The sequence below is a fragment of the Homo sapiens genome, chromosome 12 (genome assembly GCF_000001405.40).
Source record: "Homo sapiens chromosome 12, GRCh38.p14 Primary Assembly".
NCBI classification, from domain to species: Eukaryota; Metazoa; Chordata; class Mammalia; order Primates; family Hominidae; genus Homo; species Homo sapiens.
The window spans coordinates 7107253-7130061 of record NC_000012.12 but is presented as its reverse complement, the minus strand read 5'-3'; the positions used below and the strand labels follow the sequence as shown (position 1 = coordinate 7130061).

Here is a 22809-nt window from a genome sequence, read left to right as displayed (position 1 = left end):
CGCGTCACCCCGCCCCCCAACTCTGCCATAACCTGTTTCCACAGCCCCTTCCATCCACAGATCCGTGCTGCGTGCCCTCTGGGAAGGGTGAAGTAAAACCCTCAGTCTGAGCCTGAGAAATCCTGGCATTTGTAGCCCAGGGCTGCGAGGAAGCCACAGGGCGGTCCGCAGGGCGGTATCGAGGCTCTGGGACCCAAGGAGGGGCAGGACGTCGTGCACCCCTCGCGCACGCACCTGTCGGGACCGGCCGCCTCCTCCTGCCTACCTGTCCTGCCTCCTTCGCCCCGAATTTCACCTTAAACCATGATGAACCAAGCCCAGTGGATTCTGAAGCCCGGGACGATGGCAGGTTCGAGAGAGAATTGGGCAGCTGGGGGCGGGGCACAATATTATTTAGGCGCCTCCACCCCACCTTCACAGAAATACATCTGGAAAGCATGGGCTGTCCTAGGGCTGGGGACTGGGGGTTACGGTCTCATCGATGACTCAGAGGGAGAGAAAACCCCCTGGGTCCCAAGCCAAAAAGAATAAAATTCTCCAGAATAGCCAACAAACTCCTCTCAGGCTGTCTGTTCCGGACTTTGAACTCAGCACCCCTCGGGCTCCACCTCCCTCCTAATGGCTCTTTAGGACCAAGAGTCTGGAATGCCACTTTGGGGTCCCAGTTGAGCACACTACCTGAGGGAGCTCTGAGAGCCAGGCCTACAGGGTGCTCTTCATGGTGGCAGCTGGCCATCCTCACCCCCTCCCCTCACATCTTCCAACATCACTCAGTCCCAGGATCTCAGGATATTGTTGGAACTCATCTCCACCTCACACAGCCAGACCAGCCTCAGGTGTCTCCCAGGAAAGACTGCCCCTCAGGCCCTGGGACGGTTCCCAAGCCTGCCAGAAATGAGGTGGAGGCCAACACTGACCTTTGGATGGCTGAGTTTTGGATGACTGACAGCCCCAGATCCTGCTCCAGGTTCCTTCCTCAGGAAGGATCCTGCTCCAGGTTCCTTCCTCAGGAAAAGCCAAGGTCAGGCGCAACTTTGCCAAATCCCTGCCCCTCCTTCAGGCTGGAGACACCACCCCCAAACTCACCATGCGGGGAGGGAAGAAGTCTGGTAGGGACTCTTATTGCAACAGGGCCCCAGCCTTATAAAAAGCCCTGGTAACCCGGCCATTACACATCCTGTCTCTGTGTGTGGAGCTGGCTGGAATCTCTCAGCCTCACCTGCCAGACAACACCCCCTCCTTCCTCACCCTGTCTCCTGCATTCTCCTGAAACCTTCATCCACACAATGCCTCCCAACCTCACTGGCTACTACCGCTTTGTCTCGCAGAAGAACATGGAGGACTACCTGCAAGCCCTAAGTAATGGCCTCGCCCTCCCAGACCCCTGTCACTCCCTTTCTCCCCTCTTCCTTCCTGCTTCTTGGTCCCATGGAGAAGAGGGAATGCCCGGGGTTGGACACTGTGGAAAGGCTCAGGCGGCTGGCACCAGACCTGGGATCCATTTCTAACCAGGCATTGGTAGGAGGGGGTGAATCCACAGTCCCAGACCCAAAGAAGGGAAACTCACAGCCCTGAGGGGCTGCTGCAGGCAGAGGAGCTCCTGGCTGGCTAGCAGCACCCCTACTAACAGGCAGCCCCCACAGACATCAGCTTGGCTGTGCGGAAGATCGCGCTGCTGCTGAAGCCGGACAAGGAGATCGAACACCAGGGCAACCACATGACGGTGAGGACGCTCAGCACCTTCCGAAACTACACTGTGCAGTTTGATGTGGGAGTGGAGTTTGAGGAGGACCTCAGGAGCGTGGACGGACGAAAATGCCAGGTACATTTCCCCTGGCTGGGCGGTGGCCGGAAGGAGGCATCACAGGAGACTCCTAACAACATGGGGCAAAACAAAGTGACCTTCCCCAGCCAGAGCAGCGGGGAGGAGGGGAATGGTCACCACAGCAGGGAATGCAGTCCCCAGGATACCAGTCTCCAGAACTAACAGGTCCTGGTGCTCCCTGTCTCTCTCCCACTTCTTCCCTGCCCCCTCTTATCACCAGCCCAAAGGGCAAAGAACAGGCCAACCCAGACCGAAGAGCAAACATTTGCCCACCCTCCAGCCTGTGACACTGTTGGTCACCCAGAGTCCCTTTTACTTTAGCATCAATAACTTCACTCTCCTGCATTTCTTTCTACTTCTTACATATTCCTTCTTAGCCTCCTTTGCAGATCCTAGTCCTCCTATTAATCCTTTAAACTGGAGTTTTCTCCGCAGAGTTTTGTTCTTAATGTCTTCTCCCTTTTGTCTGCCCACTATCCATAGGCTAAATCATCTACACCCATGCCTTCTGCTTCCATCTATAGGCTGCCCTTGGCATGAATTCTCCAGCCAGAGCCATCTCCTGAGCTCCAGGGCAATGTTTTCAACTGCCTACAAAATACAGTTGGCCCTCCATATTCATGGGTTCTGCATCCACAGCTTCAGCAAACTGCAAATGGAAAAATATTTGGGAAAAATAAAAATAAAAAATAACAATACAAAATGATACAAATAAAAAACAATACAGTATAGCAACTATTTACAGAGCATGTACATTGCATTAGGTATTATAAGTAATCTAGAGATGATTTAAAGCATATGGGAAAAGGCTGGGCGTGGTGGCTCACACCCATAATCCCAAGACTTTGGGAGGCTGAGGCAGGCAGATCACTTGAGGCCAGGAGTTCAAGACCAGCCTGGCCAACATGGTGAAACCTCATCTCTACTAAAAATACATAAATTAGGCCAGGTGCAGTGGCTCACACCTGTAATCCCAGTACTTTGGGAGGCCAAGGCGGGCGGATCACCTGAGGTCAAGAGTTCGAGACCAGCCTGACCAACATGGAGAAACCCCATCTCTACTAAAAATACAAAAAATTAGGCAGGCATGGTGGCGCATGCCTGTAATCCCAGCTACTCAGGAGGCTGAGGCAGAAGAATCACTTGAACCTGGGAGGCAGAGGTTGCAGTGAGCCAAGATCGCACCACTGCACTCCAGCCTGGGCAACAAGAGCGAAATTCTATCTCAAAAAAAAAAAAAAAAAAAAATACAAAAGTACAAAAATTAGCCGGGCATGGTGGCGCATGCCTGTAATCCCAGCTACTTGGGAGGCTGAGGCAGGAGAATTACTTGAACCCGGGAGCCAGAGGTTGCAGTGAGCCAAGATCATGCCATTGCATTCTAGTCTGGGTGACAGAGCAAGACTCTGTATCAAAATGATAATAATAAAGTACACAGGGGGATGTATGTAGTTTCTCTACAGATACTAAGCCATTTTATTCAGCAGATTTAGTGAGGTGGGGGTCCTGGAACCAATTTCCATTTGAATGCCAAGGTCAAATTCAAATTCACTGTCTTCCTATCCAAACCTACCCCACTTTTATATCTACTCTCTCCACTAATGGCAATAACCAGCCAGGCCAGAGACCTGGGAGTCATGGTCAATATCTCTTGTTTCCTTACCTCTAGGCTCCCAGCACACACACACACACACACACACACACACACACACACACACACACACACCACCACCACCACCACCACCACATCTAATCGGCCAAGAAATCTTTGTAGCTTTTCTGCATTACCCAGTATAGCAGCTGCTAACTTCAGATGGCCGTTGAATACTTGAAATATAACTAGTCCAAATCTAGATGCTGTAAGTGGACTTTCAGACAATGCCAAATAAAAAGAAGCATTTCGGAAATGTTTATATTGGCTGCATGCCGAAATAATAATATTTTGAATATTTTTGGTTAACTAAAATATATTATTTAAATTAATTTCCCCTATTTCTCTTTACTTTTCTAATATGGCTCCTGACCCATTTTATTTCTGTTGAGCATCACTCTTCTAAATGGCTCTCCTGTGTTCCCTCCTAACCTTTCTCTATCACCACCCTAATTCAGGCCTTCATTTCCTGGTGCCTGAAATTGCTTTTTTGTGTTTTTGTGTTTTTTTTTTTTTGGTAGAGGTGGGGTCTCACTGTGTTGCCCAGGCTGGTCTCAAACTCTTGACTTCAAGTGATTCTCCCGCCTCAGCCTCCCAAATGCTGAGATTACGGGCCTAAGCCACTGCACCCAGCTGGTTCTCACGCTTAACCCTCCTCTAATCTGCATGCTGTAGCCACAGGGTCTACTTAAAACATAAATGTGATCATGTCACTCTCTGACTTACACCCTTTCAGTGATGATCTATTACATTACATCATCTGTTACACTTAACTCAGCATACAAGGGTCTCTGTGAATCAACTCTTCAATTGCCTCCACCACATATACTCTAGGTTAGAGCCCTTCAGAACTAATTGCCTTTCTCTTTTACCGCTATTTCTAGCTGTTTCTTTCCTTGCTAGAAATTTCCCATTCTCTCCAATCTAATTAACTCCCAACTTCCTTAAAGATTTCACTCTGCCCGCCCCACTGCCATCCCTCACTCTTGCCTGGTGTCACAGTTACCTATTTACTGATCCTCTATCTCTTCAAGACTCTGAGCTCCTTGTTTGGGGCCTATCCTAAAGGAGAACTCAATAAAGGTTGATTGGAATGCTCAGGCCCAGAGGGGCTGACCCTTTATTTCTAAGGATACTTCAGCTGTTCTTGAAACCGAGAAAGAGGAGAAATGAGATTACCTGGTAGGATTCCCAACCAATCTCTCTTTTTTCTCAAAAGTCCCTCTAGGTCAGCCAGAAGTATCCAGAGGAAAAAGTCTCCATTCTTCATAAATGCCCTCCCCAATTTCACCTCTACTTATCCTGCTACCACCCCTGCTCTCCCCTAAAGGTCACTGTAGACAACTTTGGGCCCCCCTCGGTGACCTTTAGGAGTGGAAAGCTGGGTGTGATGGTTCATGCCTATAGTCACAGCACTTTAGGAAGCGGTGGCGGGCGGATCACTTGAGCTCAGGAGTTTAAGTCCAGCCTGGCCAACATGGAGAAACCCTGTCTCTACTAAAAATACAAAAATTAACCCGGTATGTTGGTGCACGCCTGTAATCCCAGCTACTCTGGTAGCTGAGGCATGAGATTCACTTGAACCCAGGAGGCAGAGGTTGCAGTGAGCCGAGATCCTGCCACTGCACTCCAGCCTGGGTGACAGAGCAAGAACTTGTCTCAAAAAAACACAAAAAACAAAGAGTAGGGTGGAAAGGGAGTCCTGCTGAATCAGAGCAGCTCCCTCGCTCAGTGGAGGGGCTGCAGCAGACAGTATCTGCTGTGGAGTAAAAGGGGGAGCCCATTCAGAGTGAGATGGGAAGCATTTTGAGTGTCCTGCCTCCTAATCTTTCTTTACTCCCTCTTTCCCCTATAGACCATAGTAACCTGGGAGGAGGAGCACCTGGTGTGTGTGCAGAAAGGGGAGGTCCCCAACCGGGGCTGGAGACACTGGCTGGAGGGAGAGATGCTGTATCTGGTAAATGGGGTGGGGGCTGGGTGTCTGGGAGAAGGGCCTCCAGCTATAAGGCATCCCCTTGTCCAAACCAGATAGGTCCACCACTCTTCCCCCAGCCCAGCCCCAATCCCTATCCAAGGAATTGACCAGGGAGGGAAAGCAAAAGCACTGGGAGGAGTGGGGAGAGGAAGAAACAGAGTGGCCAAGGTGGGCCCTGGCTACGAGTCGGATGAATGCCCATAAATCATCACTGGCGAGATGGAGGCTTCAGCCACTCACATCCCCTGACCCAGCCACCTTCCTTCCTGAGGGGTGGAAAGTTGAGGATGTGGAATAATGATACAATTGCCCATACATCAAACACTCAAGCTGCTGTATCCGGAAGGAGTAAATGGAGGTCAAGGACCTTGAGAAAGGGGCTCTGGCTGGCAAACGCCCTCTTTCTCTCTCCCCCTCACTTCCCCTCTCTCCCCAGGAACTGACTGCAAGGGATGCAGTGTGCGAGCAGGTCTTCAGGAAGGTCAGATAGCCGGAGAGGAGCCAAGATCCCTCCAGACAGCACCAGCTCACAGACGCTCTTGTTGTGCCCCCTTCAAGCCCAGATTGTGCCAGGTCAGCTGTCCCTTCCTCTGGCCACCTTTCCTCCCTCTGGGTCCCTCCTCACCCCTCCCCGTGTTAATCTGTAACTTGCAGCCCCCAGGCCAAAGTCCTTTCTCACACTCCACTGCCCAATAGTGACCTCACTTCCAGGTCAAGGTCTGGCGTCCCAAATGAAAGAAGCAGGCAAAGGGAAGGAGCCCCTGAGAACAACCAATCTCCGCTCTCTCCTGTCCATTTGACCTCTTCTTTTCCTTCTAAGAAAGAACTAAGCTTTGGGCATTTGGCGATTAGTGAAAATTCTATCCTGATGGACTTCTGGAAAACTGTGACTGGGGTTCAAGAGTTTAAACAGGGGCTACTGGCAGAGTCTTTTTGTCCATTTCTTTGTCCTTATCCTTGAGAAAGTCTCATGTGCTCAACAAAACCAGGCCCAAGACACAGCCCCCCACACACAGGGTTCAACGGACTCCACGGTTCTGACATCTGAAGGCATCTGGCCATTTGATACTTCCATCCTATGTGTTGGGAATGAGGGATGGAATGGGGTAAGACCTTTGTCCAGTGCTTGGGGAGGCGGGGAGCTTCTAAATGGTGACCTGTCCTCCGTGTCTGCTTTGGGAAGGGCAAGCAGCAAGAAAGCCAGAAAAAGCTGAAAAAGGAAGTAGACGGAGGATGTGAGGTCAAGGAATAAAAGACAGTAATACAGGGGTGTGAAGGCATAGGAGGGAGAAGCCCAGCAGTCCTGGCTATAGGGACCCTCTGCTCAAAGGCCAGCAAGGCTGGAGACCAGAGATAAAGAGGAGAGCTGAGGACAGCAAGGGTCCCAGAGTTGCTGCCTTGGAAAACAGCCCAGAAGGGTGGAGCTGGCTCAGGGTCAAGGCCAGCTCCAGCCTCTGGCCTCCTCTCCACCTCCAGGGGCCTTGGCTCTTTCAGAATAAAAGTCCTAGGGGGCCCAACTATCAGAGTGAAGAGGGCTCAATGTGAGGGTGGGAAAAGAGCCTGGGGGAAGGGTTGAGGGAGTTGGAAAGTCCCTGGCCCTCATCAGATGAAGACTCTTGACCCATCTTCCTGCAACGGCTGGCCCCCCCATGCACACAAGACAGTCACTAGGGCTCTGGCCAAGAACTAGGGGCTTGTGATACTGATCCTACCACATGCTCTGGAATGAATTTGGAATAGAAAAAAAAAAGGAACTCAGGGTTGAATGGAAAATCTTATTCCCTGCCCAATCTCTGCAGATGTCCACAGTAGAGTGGAAAGCCCCTTCTTTGCAAAGCCACCCAGCAGAAGCTCTGAGGGCTGCTGGAATCCACCTTGTCCCATTCCAAGGCACAGGAGGATGCTCCGTGTGTACTCGCCCATTGCCCACATCTCCAGATCAACACAGTGTCCTTGCTCTTGAGTTCACAGTGCATGTCCAAGCCTCTTCCCACAGGACGGTCCTCCATGCCCTTCAGTGACCATGCTGGTCAGTGGAGTCTCGGCAGAGGCCTTGACTCAGGAACTTGTAGGCCCCCATGGTGGGTTTTTCTAAATATTTCTATATATTTTTATTTTTCCCCCAAAGGTTGACACTTCTTACCATGGTGGTTTTAAGACCCAAGCTAAAGTGGGCTCAATCCCTCAAAACTCCCCGTGATGTGGGCGTCCAGAACATGGCCACTGCAGGACCCCATCCTCCACTCGACCACACTTCTCCAGGGGCCAGACCACACCCAAAGGCCTGGAGATCCCCTAAGGGAGCACAAGCATCAGGGGAGGACTATGCAGCTTCAGAGGCATTTCCAAGAGGGTGGGAGCTCGACCTGCAGAGGGGAGGGGACCGCTGTGGGAAGCTGGAGCTGCTGTTTCCCCTGCGGACACTAGAAGCCAGGGATTCTCCAAATTCAATCCTCCCTCCTCCACCACCTTCTCTGATATTCCATTCCCACCACACACACACACACATACACACACACACATATAAACACACACCCAATCCATGTCCTGGTCCTCACAAGACCATTACCCCTCATTCAAATCAGGTTCCATCTGTCCTCAGAGGGAAGAGATAATCACCAGAGGGACCAAGATGTGAGTGGAGAAAGGGCAGGGGAGGGGACGAGGGCCACAGACAGGTGGGTCCCACACCAGACCCTCCCAGGGACACACAAAGTTGTGGAGTTGACTTGGTTGGCCAGAGTCTTAAACTCCAGGGATGTGATCAGGAATCCAAAATGTTTATTTCCATATGGATGGAATAACTGTGCTCTCTAAGTCAGCCCAATGCAGGCCCCTGCCCCACTCCCACTCCACCAGGCCCAGATTCCAGCTGGAACTCCAGATGGTCCCTGAGAGTCTGCAAAGACCAAAGGTCAATTCAGAGCCCTGTCCCCAAAATAAACTGAGCAAAAGTGGATGGGGAGGATGGGTACAGGTGTGTGTCCTGTGAAGCAGAGGACCATGTGCTGCCCAAGGACTTGGGCTCCATCCCACTGGGGGGTCCCAAGAGGAGGCAGAGCAACAAGGTCTAGCCGTGTACCCCTCCCCACTGCCCACCTCTCCCCTCGGCCTCCACCTCCCACATGACCCTGACGCCTACGTGCCCAGGCCTATATGTTGAAAAGGAGCTCAGGTAGAAGCAGGAAGTGCCTCAGCTCTAAAGCACAAAGGCCATCCCGGGTCCAATCCTGTAACATGGTTGGACCACTTATTGGCAGCAGAGAACTCCTAGAGGCCACCACAGATCTCAAGATCCCAAGAGACAGCAGAGGCATGGCCATTTTGGTACCTTTCCCCCACCCTAATGTCACTCCCTAAGATGCAGGAACCCCATCTGGTCTAGCCTTAAGTACCCCAAGTAAGAGGCCTGGTATCCCCAGCATGCGGACGATGGAGATGAGGGTGGGAGCTGCCCCTTCCCTCCCCACCCCTCCAGCGGCTCCCTGCTCTTCCACAGGATGCACTTCCTCCCCTAGAGCCTGCTGCTCCCACCTGGCCTGGGACCACTTTTTCTTTTTTCTTTTTCTTTTTTTTTTTTTTTGAGACAGAATCTTGCTCTGCCGCCCAGGCTGGAGTGCAGTGGTGCAATCTCGGCTCACTGCAGCCTCCGCCTCCCAGGTTCAAGTGATTCTTGTGCCTCAGCCTCCTGAGTAGCCGGCACTACAGGCACGTGCCACCAGGCCCACGTAATTTTTTTGTATTTTTAGTAAAGACTGGGTTTCACCATGTTGGCCAGGCTGATCTCGAACTCCTGACCTCAAGCAATCTGCCCGCCTCAGCCTCCCAAAGTGCTGGGATTACAGGTGTTAGCCACCGCATCAGCCGTGAGGCCACTTTCATAACCCCCAACCAGCTCTCTGGGAAGTCTCCCCGGCTCCCTCTCCCTGGTGTAACGCCCTCAGTCATAAGAGTACCCATGCTTTCAGGGTCCCTGGGGACTCACCCTGCACATCCTGGGGCTGTGTCCATGATTATGGGCAGATGAGAATCGGGGAGACCTTGTAGGTACAGCAGGAGGTGAAGGGCAAGAGGTGAGGAGATCTGGTGGGCAAATCCAGGCGCCCTGTGAAGGACTGTGATATAACTGACCTGAGTTTGCATGGAGGACAGAAAGAAAGAAACAACAGTGGTAGCCAAGGCCTCTGAGGCCAGGGTGCAAGGAGTACCCAGAGAACCCTGCCTGCCCAGGGGCCAGAATCGGCACTCTCCAGGCCTGCCCCCTCTCCCCAGACCTCAGCCAACAGGACGGCATTGCTCTGTGGGAACCTGTGCTCCATGCTGAATATGCACCCCTACTAGAGGCCACTTAGGTACCGGGGGTATAAAACGTAGCTGACCTTCCACACTCACCTTTCCAGCAAAAACAAGAAGGATCTCCATCTTTCTCAAGGGCTTCTTGACCCACCATCTAGCTGGGGGTGAGCCTCCTGCCTCCCCCTACCCCACCCTTTCCCAAGCTCCCTTCCCTCTGCCCTCACTTTACTCTGGCCACCAGGGAGAGGAGGCAGCTCTCAGAGCCTCTGTTCTGTTCCCCGTGGGCAGTGCCCAAGCAGAAGGTCACCAGCATAGCCAGGCCATTGGGTTCATGGACAAATCACTTGCCTCAGAGGCTCTAGAGGAACCTAAAATGCCACCCAAAATTGGGAGGCAGTGCTGCATAGTGGCCAGGCATGAAATGCCACCTATTACTAGCTGCAGGAGTATATACAAATCGCCAGCCTTCAGCAGATGAGCCACATTGGCCAGCCCACAAGGCAACACCAAGAGTATTTCCTTCCTGCTGGGAATTTTGTGAAGATTGCATGCACACTCAGCAGAGGACCTGGAGTGGAGTGCGCCCTGACAGATGCTGGCTATCATTACTTGCACTATTCCCTGCCTCTTCACCTGATGATTGAAATTCTCTTAACTAGAAGCAAAGCCTTGTGTTCTTCAGTTAAGGACAAGGCATCAAGTGCCACTACCCTTGAGGTTACACAGTGACATATTTACACCGAAGTGTAAGTGACACATACCAGAGAATGGGGGCTAGTGTAGCCATCATCTTGCTGTCCAGGCAGGTAAACCATCTGGGGGTGACAAGGATGAAGGGGAGTTGCCTCCCTAAGGGATCCATATCCAGAGTCTCTCATTGCACCCCACCCCCCATCCCCAGAGAAGGGTGCCTGGGCTCCCCGGGACAGCATTGCCCTCCAGAGCCCCTGCTGCAATAGCCACTCTAGCCTTCCCACCCATGGAGAGAAGGCTTCAATGCAGGAGAAAAGGGATGACGCAGGGACAGCTGCCCAGCCCAGTGCCACTGCAGTGATGGCTGCACAGTCATCAGCTCCATCCACCCCTACCCCCCAGCCCTTGGGACCCCCCCCCATCCCCCACAGTACGTACTGCTATCTCATTCAAGGTGCCGGGCACCAGCAGCAGAGGCCACATCCCAGACCTGGACTCCCCAGCCACCAGCTGCAGGTACTGCCACTCTCCCTTAACCCTCCCAGCTACTCCCCTCCTCCCTATGACAGCTGAATACAGGAACCAGCGCCCTCACCCTGCCCTGGAGCTTCCTCATGCTTCCCTCTTCTTGAGAGGCCTCCACCCTCCTGGCCCTGGTCTCCTGCAGGATATCTCACCATCTTTCTTCTTCCTCCTCCTCCTCCTCCTCTTCTTCTTCTTCTTCTAAAATGATTTTTAAAAACACTTCATGAATTTGCATATCATCCTTGCACAGGGGCCATGCTAATCTCTTCTGTATCCTTCCAATTTGAGTATATGTGCTGCTGAAGCGAGCATATCCCATCGCCTTTCTACACCAGCAGAGCTCCAGCTTCCCCTCCATTCATGCCTCAGTATGTGCCCACACCCCTGCCCTACAGATGAGTCATAGATGGAGGGTCTACCTCAATGTGAATGGAACAGTTTTTCTTCCACGCAAGTGTGCATATCCCACACGATTCTGTCTTGCATGCACTTCTTCAATGTACGGTGCGTGTGCCTATTGTCGTGTGGCCTCTCCATCCTCTGTTCTATAGAACTGCTGAGAGCCAGCATCTTCCTTTCCCTCTCTGTACACAGAACAACAGCGGTGGCATCTTCCTTGACCCAGGCAGGTGGCACAATGCAGAGCTAAAGGCACCGCTCGAGGAGTCGTGTAACCTCAGGCGAATTCTTTCACTTCTGTGTGCCTGTGCTCCCTCCCAGGCCTGGTCCCGATCCACCTTCTGTCTTGTCTTTCCCACCTGCTCCTCCTCTTGGATTCCTCTCCCTTCCCGGCTGTTTTCGGAAGAGGCTCGCTCATATCCTTGACCCAGCTGTAAGGAAACTATTGTCACCCTTAATGAAACTAAAGCTTATCCTGCTGGGTCCTCATTGGAGCAAGAACCCACAGGTGAAGGGGCAGCCAGGTGGCAAAGCCCCCACCCCAGCCTGTCTCCCCACCACTCCTTCTTTTCTGAGAAGCACAGGTGGGACAAGGTGGGCCTCTTGAATGAGGGTTTATTAAAGTCTTGGAGGAAACAAAAGGGAAACAGAACAGAGAGTTATACTCACCTTGATTATCTGAGGCACAAATGCAGCCTCAGCCATGAACATATTGAAGGAAGGGATAGTCCAGTATGTAACAGACGCACCCTGCTATTGGCAAGCAAAGCACAGATGGAGTGAATTTAAAGAGTCCTTTACTAAAGGACTTTGTTTCAGGACGAAAGTCCACACAGAGCCCACAGGGTGTGGGAGATCTGAGATCTGGAACTGGGATCTCTGGGCTCTGAACTTGTTCTGTTGGGCAATCTGCTGATGGAGACCTTGTCTTCGAGTGTCAGGATGCACACTGTGGTCAGCTCCCCCTAGGTTGCAAAGGGCATTCTATCTGGGACTTGTCTTCCCTGCCCATCTGCTCTCCTTTTCAACAGCTTCTTGGTTCTTTTGAAACCTATGCTGTCTTCCCAAAGCCCTACCTCCTATTGTGTTGGCCTCCTGTAAGCCATGCTTTCATCTGTCCAGTCCTGCTCTTGGTGGGATGAACGAGAGGCCTCTACAGATCTCAAGGTGGAGGAGGAGAGGGTCAGAGCCCCCAAAGGTACTCTGGATTTGGGTAAATGCACCTGAAATACAACCATACCCAGCAAAAATAACATCCTGCTAGCTGATCGTCTGCACTTATTGTACTAAAATAATACATCTACTTCTATGAGAACCAGCGTCCGAGACAGCCACCAACAATACCTGCTTCCCAGTATTCCTGTCCTTGTGATGTCTCCTTCCACATCGGGTTGTCTGTGTGACCAATGGAATAAGGCAGAAATGATGCTACGTCACTTCCAAGGCTGGCTTATAAAAGACACTGTCACCTCTGCCTTGTTCTTTCCACCTTGGGTCACTCTGGGGAAAGCCAGCTGCTATGCCGCGAGGACACTCAAGCGTCCTATGAGGAGGGCCATGTGGCAGGGAACTGAGGCCGCCTGCCCACATCCATGTGAGTGACCGTCTGGAAGCAGACCTCCAGCCCCAGTCCCGCCTCTGGAGGACTGCAGCCTGCACCTGGACCAAAGCCTTGTGAGAGACCCTGATCCTAAACTACCCATCTCAGCCGCTTCTGGATTCCTGACCCACAGAAACTGTGTGAAATAGTACATACTTGCTGTTTTAAACAAAATGTGGGGGTGACTTTTTACAAGCAGACAGATAACTGCAACATAGTCTCAACCTTGAATTTCATTGCAAATGACCCCATCCTGACCATAACCTCAATATTCGCTAAGTGGGCAGAAGAATGGGGTTGGGGGGTGGGGGCAGTAGATGACTTCGGGCAGTAAAAATGTGTCCAGTCACAAAAAGGCATGACTCCATCCTCAGTGCTCACAGCCCTCCCATCCTAGCTCTAAGCTAGACCCTTCCACGAGTCTAGAGAGTGAAGTTCAGAGGCAGGCAGCTGCCCCCTTTCCCTTCCTCTTTGAGGCCCACCCACCTGAGTCCTGTCTGAGGACTGCCTCTCCCCTAGGTAATTGTTAAAAGGAATGTCCAGCATCTTCAGATGGTACCCTGCTCGTTTCAAAGTTGTGTGACCTTACTCTGTGGCTTCAAAAGGACAAAGACATCAGAATACAACTCAATGCACCTCACGCCATTAGACAGCATGAGTGACAAGCCGCAGGGAGGATATATCAGACAGCACCAGATCTTAGCTGGTAGGAAGCTGATTGACAAGTTCTGTGGAGGACAGAGCAGCAGAGCCCTGAAGTCCACAGCAATAAGGGGAAGATGGTGTTCTAGACACACCAGCAGGGAAGAGCCAAACCTGGATGGTCAGTTTGACCTCCCAGGGTAAGGAGCCTCTGGGTCTTCTCTACCTCTCCCAGGACCACCACAGTGAAACTAGAGCCAGAGGGTTCTTTGCTGAAAAGAGGGTGAGTGAGGTGGAGAGATGCAGATGAGAGGAGGCTTTATGCAGAAGCCATCAGGTTGTGCCATATCTAAAGCCTGGAAAAAGGAGGATACCAGCTGATAGGATTTGGCTCTATGTCCCCAACCAAATCTCATGTGGAATTGTAATCCCCACGTGTTGGAGGAGGGGCCTGGTGAGAGGTGATTGGATCATGGGGGCAGTTTCTAATGGTTTAGTGCCATCCCCCTAGTGCTGTCTCCCGATGGAATTCTCATGAGATCTGGTTGTTTAAAAGTGTGTAGACTTCTCCCTTCTTCTCTTTCTCCTGCTGCCATGTGAAGAAGGTCCTTGCTTCCCCTTCGCCTTCTGCCATGATTATAAGCTTCCTGAGGCCTCCCAGTCATGCTTCCTGTTAAGCCCGCAGAACTGTGAGTCAATTAAACTTCTTCTCTTCATGAATTCCCCAGTCTCAGGTAGTTCTGTACAGCAGTGTGAGAATGGACGAATACAGCAGCGAAGGTGGTACAAGGGCTTTCTGTTCCACTGTGCTCTTCCTGAGTCAGAACCTTTGGGCAGTCCCCAGCCTGCCACCTAGGGACTTCTGCTGCCACCCAGGAGAAGCAGAATGCCCACCAGGCCCAGATCTGCTACCACTTCCAGAAGCCCTGTTACTAAATGATAGGCCCCAGGTGAGGACCAGCCAGGCCCTCTCCAGGGCAGGATCCTTCTCCTTCTACTCACAGAGCTGCTCTCTACAACCAGGTACCAACAGTGAGGAGGCGGTCACGTGGCAATGATCAGGCTTCTCACTAGAGAATAGTAAATGGGGCAGGGCCGTGTTCAGACCCTCAAACTCTACCCAACCCCATCTCCCAGATGCACCTGTCTACCACCTGCTTCTCTTCCTCCCTGCACACCTTGAAAACTCCAAAACCTGGTGCATACTCCCCACTCTGCCCCATCCCAAGAACTCACCCACAGACGCAGGTGGACACCTAGATGTGCTGAGTCCTAGGGCTGCCACAGCCTGCAGGACAAAATTCCTCCCTCAAGGAACCCACAGCCCTGTGGGAAAGACAGACACACGGGCAGGAGGTTATCATGCATCAAGAGTCCATGAGCACAGGGAAAGTCATTTTCTCTGAGTCAAAGAGGGCTTCCCAGAGGAGAGGACACGGGGAGAGAGGTGAGTAAAAATGGCCGGCATCCAGGGCATGAGTACTACATGCCGAACGCTGACTCTTCTCAGGAACCCAAGCACAGGTTATTGTCCCCATTCTACAGATAAGAAAACTAAGGAACAGAGAATTTTAAGTAATTTGCCAAAGGTTATACATGAAATAAAAGACAGAGATGGGATTTGAACCCAAACAGATTGGAGCCTGACCACCCAACCCTCAGTTTCTCCACCTCGCCCCTATTGACGTTCAGGACCAGGTAACATTTTGTTGTGGGACCTGCTGCCTTGTGCACTAGGATGCTTACCAGCATCACTGGCCTGTATCCACTAAATGCCAGTAATGGAAAAAAGAAATCTCTAGATATCATCAAATATCCCCTGGGGAGCAAAACTGCTCCTTGTTGAGTACCACTGATCTAACCATTTTGCTATTCTATTCTGCTTCCTAAGCAAGTAATGATATTTATTGTTTGCCAAATGACAGACACTGCCCTAAGCAATTCTGGTTATTAACTCATTTAACCCTCACACCAACCCTCTGGTGTGGGTACCGTTGTCCTCATCCTTGTTCTTCAGATGAGGATGTTAAGAGGCACAGAGAAATTATGTAAGCTGGCCTTGGTCACCAAACTTTTAAATGGTAGAGCCTGGGTTTAAACCTGGTGAGTGTGGCACACAAGCCCACTCCTTTAAGCAGCATGTTATGCTGATGACTGAAGAACACGGCATTGGTCGGGGAGTCACACATGCAAACGCAAGGCATGTTTGTGAAGCCATAGCATCATGACCGCGCCTGGAACACACATGCGAGGCGGCAGCGGTGGAGAGCGAAGCCAGAAAGTCATGCAGAGCCTGATTATGAAGGAAGAACCTGACGAGACAAACAAGTGGCTGGGGCTTCATCTCATGGATCAGGAGGCACAGTCATTGAAAAGTTTTAACCTGGGAAGGGGCACGATTGATTGAGATTTTAGATACTGGCAGAGTAGGGAGGATGGGCTTAAGGGCTAAACCTAGTGGCTGACACTCCATTGGGGTTGAGCTAGCGACTGCCTAGGTGTCCATAAGGCATGGAAGTCAAGGCCCTGACATGAAAGCCTGAGATAACTTGGGGGTGGAGGAGTGTGACCCATTAGGGTCACCCCTCTGCCCTGGGCTGTCCACATCTCCACTGGCCATGCCAGACAGAAGCAAAGGGTCCCAGTCTGGCTGACTCAGCCGCCTCATCACCCCTGCTGCTCTTCACCTCGCTCCTGTATCTCCCTCCTCACCTGGCACTGGGCACAAAAGCCCCCACGTGTCCCAGCCCAGGGCAAGGTATCTAGAGATAAGACAGGGAAGCTGTGGACAGAAATGGCTCGTGCTGCCCCAGACTCCTCTGCCTGGGCTCTCCTGTGGCTGTTTGGATTCCAGGAGAGGGCAAGCTCCTCTCTAAATGCTGGGGGCTCATGAAGGCTGCAGAGAAACTCCCTGGCCAGGAAGCCCCAAGGCACTTTCTGTTGTCCTGCCCTTCCCCTTTCAGGACAGAAGGGGGCAGCACCAACACGATTTTCAAAAATAAAACCAAAAATAAAGTCACTGGAGCACCCCAACCTTGTTTGCCCAGCTAAGATTGGAAAGACCCATGCCTGGCCTAAGTTTATATGCAAGGACAAAAACTTCTTCATTAATCATGTGGATTAAAGATGCCGATTAAAGGATCCATCCCCTCATTCTCTAATCCTGTCTGGCTCAGAAAGGACCATCTGGTCACAATTATAATTTCAGATACATTTATTTTGTAACTATCAAAGTTATTAAATAATATTAAAGAAGTTTTACTAAACAGAGAAACATGGTTTAAATCATCCACAACCCCATACTCTAATAGGAAGCAGTTATTTTAGATTTTTCTCACGGGTGCTTTCTATATTTGTAAACATAGTATCCTTACAATTTGGTAGCTTGCTACCTTTACTTAGCATGCCAGGAATCCCAGCTCCCTTACCTGCACTTGGGGGCCTTAACATAGAGCAGAGGTGGCCTATGCTCTTTAGGGACACTTGGGTAAGGGAAAGGGAACTGAAGTAAATGATTGAAGTGTTAGCAATAAGGTGACCAACTGTCCTGGCGTGTCGGGGAACTTAACTGGTTTTAGTGTTGAAAACCTCATGTCCTAGGAAAACCTCATTTCTAGACAGACCAGGATGATTTCTAATAGGTTACCCTATTAGAAAAAAGTCCCCCCAAATTCAGACATCCATTTTCATTTCTACATCGGCCTTTCAGCTATACTTCTTTGCTTTTTTCTACTAGTAGTCACCCTAGGGCAACTGTTCTCAAACTTTATACCCTTAAAAAATTATTGAGAACTCCAGAGAGCTTTGGCTTATGTAGGGTATATCTATTAATAGTCACTGTACTAGAAATCAAAATTGAGAACATTTTAAATCACAAAGATACACAAGCACGCATCCCGCTCACTGCCACGGATGAATCATTGCACATCACGTAGCCTCTGTAAATCCACCATATACCATGACAGAATGAGAGGGAAAAAAGCAAAGAACATCTGAGTATTTTTATGAAAGTCATTTTGTTACCTCACAGACCCCGTGAAAGGATCTTAGGGCCTGTGGGTCTTCCCACACCACAGGGTGGAGACCCGCTGCTCTGGGAATTAGTCTGCATCCTAAACTCCAGTTTTCTCAGTTCCTATTGTACCACTTCATGTGAAATGAAGGAAACTTGTAACCATGAGTCCACCCCCTTGTCCTCTATACCAGCAGTCCCCACCCTTTTTGGCACAAGGGACTGGCTTCATGGAAAACGGTTTTTCCACAAACCAGGGATGGGGCCAGAGGGAGATGGTTTCAGGATAGTTCAAACACATTACATTCATTGCATGTTTTCTTTCTATTATTATTGTTATTGTAATATATAATGAAATATTAATAATTATACAACTCACCGTAATGTAGAATCAGTGGGAGCCCTGAGCTTGTTTTCTTGCAACTAGACGGTCCCATCTAGGGGTGATAGGAGACAGTGACAGGTCACCAGGCATTAGATTCTCATAAGGAGCACACAGCCTAGATCCCTCCATGCATAGTTCACAATAGGGTTCGTGCCCCTATGAGAATCTAATGCTGCTGCTGCTGCTGCTGCTGACAGAAGACGAAGTTCAGATGGTAATGTGAGTGATGGGAAGCAGCTACAAATACAGATGAAGCTTTGCTTGCTCACCACCACTCACCTCCAATACTGGTCCACGGCTCAGGGGTTGGGGACCCCTGCTTTATACTACAGTCTTCATATATGTTACAGCTACATATGTTATAAACCTCACAATACAATGTTATAATTTTTGCCTGGAACAGTTCTACATATTTTAAAGACATTAAAAAGAAAATCGTATTTTATATTTACCTTCAAATTTACCGTTCTTCTTATTCCTGTCTGCAGCTCTGCTCTTCCAATTTGAGACAGCGTCTCACTCTGTCACCCAAGCTGGAGTGCAGTGGCACCGTCATGGCTCACTGCAGCCTCCATCTTCCGAGCTCAAGCAATCCTCCCACCTTGGCCTCCCAAAATGCTGGGATTATAGGCGTGAGCTATCGTGCCCGTCCTAAAGAACTTTCTTTAGCGCTTCTCATAGTGGAGGTCTGCTGGCGACAAGAATCTCTGTTTTCTTTTATCTGAAAATAGCTTTATTTCATCTTCATTCTGGAAGAATACTTTCACTAGAAAAACAATTCTGAGTTGACTTTTTTTTTCCTTCAGCATTTTAGAGATATTCCACTGTCTTCTGGTCTATATTGGTTTTGATGAGAAAAGAGTGACATTGAAAATATTGTTCTGTCTAGTCTTTAGGATGGGATTAAAAAAAAGAAAAGATTTTCTCTTGTCTTTGGCTTTTAGCAGTTTGACCATGATGTGCCAAGGCATGCCCTTTTTTTCATTGACCACTCTGCCAGTTAGAGACGAGGTCCCAGTGTAGGGGAGGTGGTGCTGAAAACACAGCGGGGCACAGCTCAGCCCTAGCCCACAGGGGCCTGCAGTGACCAGCTATGCACAGAGCCATCAGCTCCTTCTCCAGTCTCACATCACCAGCCATTCCTCCCCTTGCCCTTGACCCTAACTCATGCTGCAGCCGCACACGCCACCTAGGTGAGACCAAGGTGGGCCCTCATCTTCAGAGTGCTGGATTACCCCAAACAGGGACCACATCCAGACCCTGGACTGCCCAGTCACCTGGGGCTGCCGGTGCATCACTGCCTCCCCACCCTCTTGGCTCCCTGTCCTCTTTCTCACCCAGCCTCACTCCAGCACTTTAACCCCTATCCATTTAGGGTGACCACCAGTCCTGGCTTGCCCAGAACTTCCCTCATTTTAAAACGGAAAGCCTCATGTCCTGGGAAACCCGTCGGTCCCACGCAAATCAGAACAGTCGGTCACCCTACCTGTCCTGGAGTTTCCTTCCAAGGCCTTACTCCTCCCTCCTCCAGCTCATCTCCAGGAAAGTCTTCTCAGATGGGCTAGCCTGAGTTTTCCAGTTCCTGCCCCTCTTAGCAAACAAGGAAATAATGCTCTGAAGGGAAACGAGGGGTGGACTCCCCAATCCTGATCTGAGTCTTGGCTGGTTTCTTCTTAACACATGGGTCTTGGGATTGGTACCATTGTTCACTCTTTGGCTGCATCTCTGGCTCCCAAGGTGCTCCAGGTGACCCTAAGAGTTCTATGAGAGAGCAGGTTTCAGTGGTCTCAGGGGAGGAAAGAAGTCCTAGTCAGAGAGGCCCACTCCTCGAAGATGGGTATGGGAGATCATCCCCAGTTGTGTTTGGGGTTGGGGTGTGGCAGACAGGTAGGCTTGATCTCAAGACTGTACCTGAGACATTGCATCTGTCCTGGCCATCACTCTCTTATCATCTCCTTGTAGCCATAGACTGTGGCTCTCCTAAATCTCTCTAGCCTAGAAAAACCAAAGATGCAGAGCACACCCTGTTTGGGTCTGTAACTTGCCTCCATATTACTATATGCAAAATGGGGGAAGCAATAGATTCTTCTCTGAGAGGTGTGTGTGCGCGCGCACATGCATTTGTGTGTGCATACAACGTAAGGCCTTCCACACACCTGCCTTCTCTGAGGATGGGACCACCCATCTCCATAAGAGCCTTCTGGCCTCCTACCAAGCTGTGGGTGAGTGTCCTTCCTCGGGGAGCGGTGAGAGCAGGCAGGGGCTCTAGTATCTGCCTAAAGAAGCTTGAGTGACGGCTTGAGTGATGACTGGGACTAGGGACTGAGGGACACCTGGGCTCGACCCCAGCCCTGACCATGCTGGACAAGCAGCCTCCAGAGGTTGTGAATAGGATTCAAAAGACCACCTAAGCGCATGTCCCCCACCCCTGCTTGGGGAGGAGGGAAAGGAAGAGAAAGCTCAAGTTCAAGGATCACAAACTTCAATTCTACAAGAGGGAGGCTCCCCGGGTATGTCGTGAACGGAAAGGTCGGGGAGGAAGAGACATGGCTGATTGAAGGCAGCAGCCATAACTCACAAGGAGCCATCCTACACACATGGCAAAAATTAATGTTAAATAGTACAAAAGGGTCGAGTCAGTGCCCTGCCACCCTGACCTCTGAGGGCCAGCGAGGTTTTTGGACGTTTCTCCCCTAAGCTGCGGCGGGCCCGCTGTTCCTGAGTCAGACGGCAGGTGGCGCTCAGCCCGGAGAATTGGAGAAGGGGAACTGTGGAGTTGCTTAACATTTCCAGGAACTTCCTCCTCCCCCACCGGCCTTCACCTTTTGTTCCCTATCCTGGGCCAGTTCTCTCGCAGGTCCCAGATGTCCAGTTCCAGATGCCTGGACCCAGAGTGTGGGGGAAATATCTCTGGAGAAGCCCTCACTCCAAAGGCTGTCCAGGCGCAATGTGAGTGTGGCCCCGGCAGAGGAGGAGGGAAGAGGACGGGAGGGGAAGAGAAAGGGTGGGTGGCCGCAAACCCTCCCTCCCCCCACCCTACCCCCCCCACACACACATCCCCCCCCCCCCCACACACACACACACACACACACCTCCCCCACATACACACACCAGCAGCAGCAGCAGCAGCAGCACAGCAGATATTCCATGGGGAGACTGAAATTTGCCTGTGGCCTCTAGCACCTTCCCAGAGGGTGGTCGGGGGATATTTACGGCAGACCCTCACTCGCCCCACCATTGCTCCCTCGGATCCCAGGGTGGGGTGGGATCTGCTGAAGCAGAAAGCACCCCCCTCCTTTGGACGAGACTCTCCTGGGAGATGAGCAAAGGTGATGTCTTCGGAGGATGGAAAACCCACAATCCTAGAGCTCAGGCTGCGCGGGAGGCTGTAGGGATTGGGGTGAGGAAGGGGAGCAAGGGAGGAGACGGGAAGTGCCCGGGCCTCAAGGGTGAGGCCACAGCTTCTAGCCCTGCCTCGCGAGGCCTCTGAGTCCTAGCGCGGCTCCCCCGCTCCTCCCACACCCACAGGCTTCCGGCCATAGCTGCGCGGCCCCACCTTGCCCTCCCCCCAACTCACAGGTGGTGGCTGCTTCTCTGGGGAGTCCTCCAGGCTTGCCCAACCCGGGGCTCCGTCCTCTTGGCCCAAGAGCTACCCCAGCAGCTGACATCCCCCGGGTACCCAGAGCCGTATGGCAAAGGCCAAGAGAGCAGCACGGACATCAAGGCTCCAGAGGGCTTTGCTGTGAGGCTCGTCTTCCAGGACTTCGACCTGGAGCCGTCCCAGGACTGTGCAGGGGACTCTGTCACAGTGAGCTGGGGATGGGGGGGGTCCCGCCAGGACTGTGGCCAGGGAGATTCCCGGGGTTGTGGGAAGTGGCGGTGCCCTGAATCCCCCATCTGGAGGAGGGATGAATTTTCCATGTAGGGGCAGTCGGGCTTGGCTTACCGGGGAGCAGTGGTGGACCCCAGGACACAGCCTCCCACCAGCGCCTCCGGGGCTGCCATCTGGGCCCCACAGAGCAAAGAGGGCAGCAAGCAGGCCCTGCGTTTGGAAGGCTTATGAATGGACACACAAATCTTGCAAATCTATGGAGCCAGGGGCAGGGACGCACATATTGGTTGTTAAAAATATGTCATCATGTATTTGTTGAGTGCCTGCTCTATCAGGTGAGGAAGCTGGACACAAATAATAACAAAAGATTAAGTCACCGTTCACACTTACCTTGGAAGAGCTATTACAAAACTTCTAACGCCAAAGCCTTATTCAGAATAAGGACATTTTAAAAACAGTACTTGATGGAGTGATGCAAGCTTGCAGTCCCAGCAGTATAGTCAGGAGACTGAGGCTGGAGGATCAGAGGGCTGGAGCCCAGGGTTCAAGGCCAGCCTAAGCAACATAGCAAGACCCCATCTCAAAAATAAGTAAATAATAAATAAAAATAAAAAGAGCACATTATCTTTTGATTTAAATTTTATTTATATCAAAATGACATAAATTTTTGAACTTTATTTTTTAATTTTAAAATTTTTAATTATTATGGATACATAATAGTTGTAAGACTTTTTGTTTTTTAATTAAAGTTTTCTAAGGCTGGGCGCAGTAGCTCATGTCTGTAGTCCCAGCACTTTGGGAGGCTGAGGCGAAAGAAGCACTTGAGCCCAGGAATTTGAGACCAGCCTGGGCAACATAGCAAGACCCCATCTCTACAAAAAAATTTAAAAATTAGCCAAGTGTGGTGGCACGCACCTGTGGTCCCAGCTACAAGGGACGCTGAAGTGAGAGGATCACTTGAGCCTGGAAGGTAG

The 22809-nt window shown here is 51.1% G+C and overlaps 3 protein-coding genes, 1 long non-coding RNA gene and 1 pseudogene across 15 annotated transcripts in view, besides 4 other annotated features; 2 read left to right on the top strand and 3 right to left on the bottom strand.

The window, feature by feature from the left end:
• The window catches only part of CLSTN3 (calsyntenin 3), a 29853-nt gene extending 28884 nt beyond the window's left edge, over positions 1-969 (bottom strand). The window contains exon 1 of one of the 3 annotated variants that reach the window (XM_047429921.1): positions 918-969. Coding sequence is in view for 1 of the 3 variants with exons in the window: in XM_047429919.1 (XP_047285875.1) it covers positions 266-439 (174 nt within the window). In the remaining 2 variants the exon portion in view is untranslated. Of the gene's footprint in view, positions 1-265; positions 856-917 lie in introns of those variants that run through there. The other 2 variants (XM_047429919.1, XM_047429920.1) reach the window with 2 other exon arrangements.
• Positions 57-14326, top strand: RBP5 (retinol binding protein 5). Of its 7 annotated transcripts, none has more exons than XR_007063133.1 (6): positions 57-349; positions 1644-1822; positions 5332-5433; positions 5888-6024; positions 10895-10956; positions 12684-14326. XR_007063133.1 is itself a non-coding variant. In NM_001329454.2 (6 exons), the coding sequence occupies exons 4-6, from the start codon at positions 1718-1720 to the stop codon at positions 5939-5941; spliced, it is 261 nt and encodes an 86-aa protein (NP_001316383.1). In that variant the 5' UTR covers positions 57-349; positions 775-967; positions 998-1021; positions 1644-1717; the 3' UTR covers positions 5942-6376. The 7 variants fall into 7 exon arrangements, 4 of the variants coding, with proteins under 4 accessions (NP_001316383.1, XP_016875491.1, NP_113679.1 ...); NM_001329454.2 differs by lacking the exons at positions 10895-10956; positions 12684-14326 and adding exons at positions 775-967; positions 998-1021 and having other exon boundaries at positions 5888-6376; XR_001748882.2 differs by lacking the exon at positions 57-349 and adding an exon at positions 1173-1359.
• C1RL-AS1 (C1RL antisense RNA 1) lies at positions 8211-21754 on the bottom strand. The gene is made up of 12 exons (NR_026947.1): positions 21581-21754; positions 21115-21389; positions 19915-19998; positions 19490-19764; positions 18456-19037; positions 17998-18055; positions 14843-14932; positions 11385-14676; positions 11036-11163; positions 10509-10562; positions 9437-9556; positions 8211-8350 (listed from the first exon to the last, which is right to left on the bottom strand). It is a non-coding gene; the product is annotated as a C1RL antisense RNA 1 (long non-coding RNA).
• RNU6-485P (RNA, U6 small nuclear 485, pseudogene) lies at positions 11171-11277 on the bottom strand (annotated as a pseudogene).
• Positions 16294-16795: an enhancer, noted in NCBI's record as "H3K4me1 hESC enhancer chr12:7265863-7266364 (GRCh37/hg19 assembly coordinates)". NCBI's record gives its function as "activates a minimal SCP1, AML or CMV promoter by ChIP-STARR-seq in naive H9 embryonic stem cells {active_cell/tissue: H9 hESC(naive)}" and the evidence as "EXISTENCE:reporter gene assay evidence [ECO:0000049][PMID:30033119]".
• Positions 20629-21828: an enhancer, noted in NCBI's record as "MED14-independent group 3 enhancer chr12:7260830-7262029 (GRCh37/hg19 assembly coordinates)". NCBI's record gives its function as "activates an origin of replication core promoter dependent on BRD2, BRD4, P300/CBP and CDK7 cofactors, and independent of MED14, by STARR-seq in HCT116 cells {active_cell/tissue: HCT116}" and the evidence as "EXISTENCE:reporter gene assay evidence [ECO:0000049][PMID:35650434]".
• C1RL (complement C1r subcomponent like) overlaps positions 20848-22809 on the top strand; it is a 14661-nt gene continuing 12699 nt past the window's right edge. For all 4 annotated transcript variants that reach the window (NM_001297640.2, NM_016546.4, NM_001297642.2 and 1 more), the window contains exons 1-2: positions 20848-20952; positions 21583-21811. In NM_001297640.2, the coding sequence (NP_001284569.1) occupies positions 20882-20952; positions 21583-21811 (300 nt within the window). In that variant the 5' untranslated portion in view covers positions 20848-20881. The remainder of the gene's footprint in view (positions 20953-21582; positions 21812-22809) is intronic.
• Positions 20907-20986: an enhancer, noted in NCBI's record as "active region_5915". NCBI's record gives its function as "activates an Ori minimal core promoter by ATAC-STARR-seq in GM12878 lymphoblastoid cells {active_cell/tissue: GM12878}" and the evidence as "EXISTENCE:reporter gene assay evidence [ECO:0000049][PMID:35858748]".
• Positions 21627-21796: an enhancer, noted in NCBI's record as "active region_5914". NCBI's record gives its function as "activates an Ori minimal core promoter by ATAC-STARR-seq in GM12878 lymphoblastoid cells {active_cell/tissue: GM12878}" and the evidence as "EXISTENCE:reporter gene assay evidence [ECO:0000049][PMID:35858748]".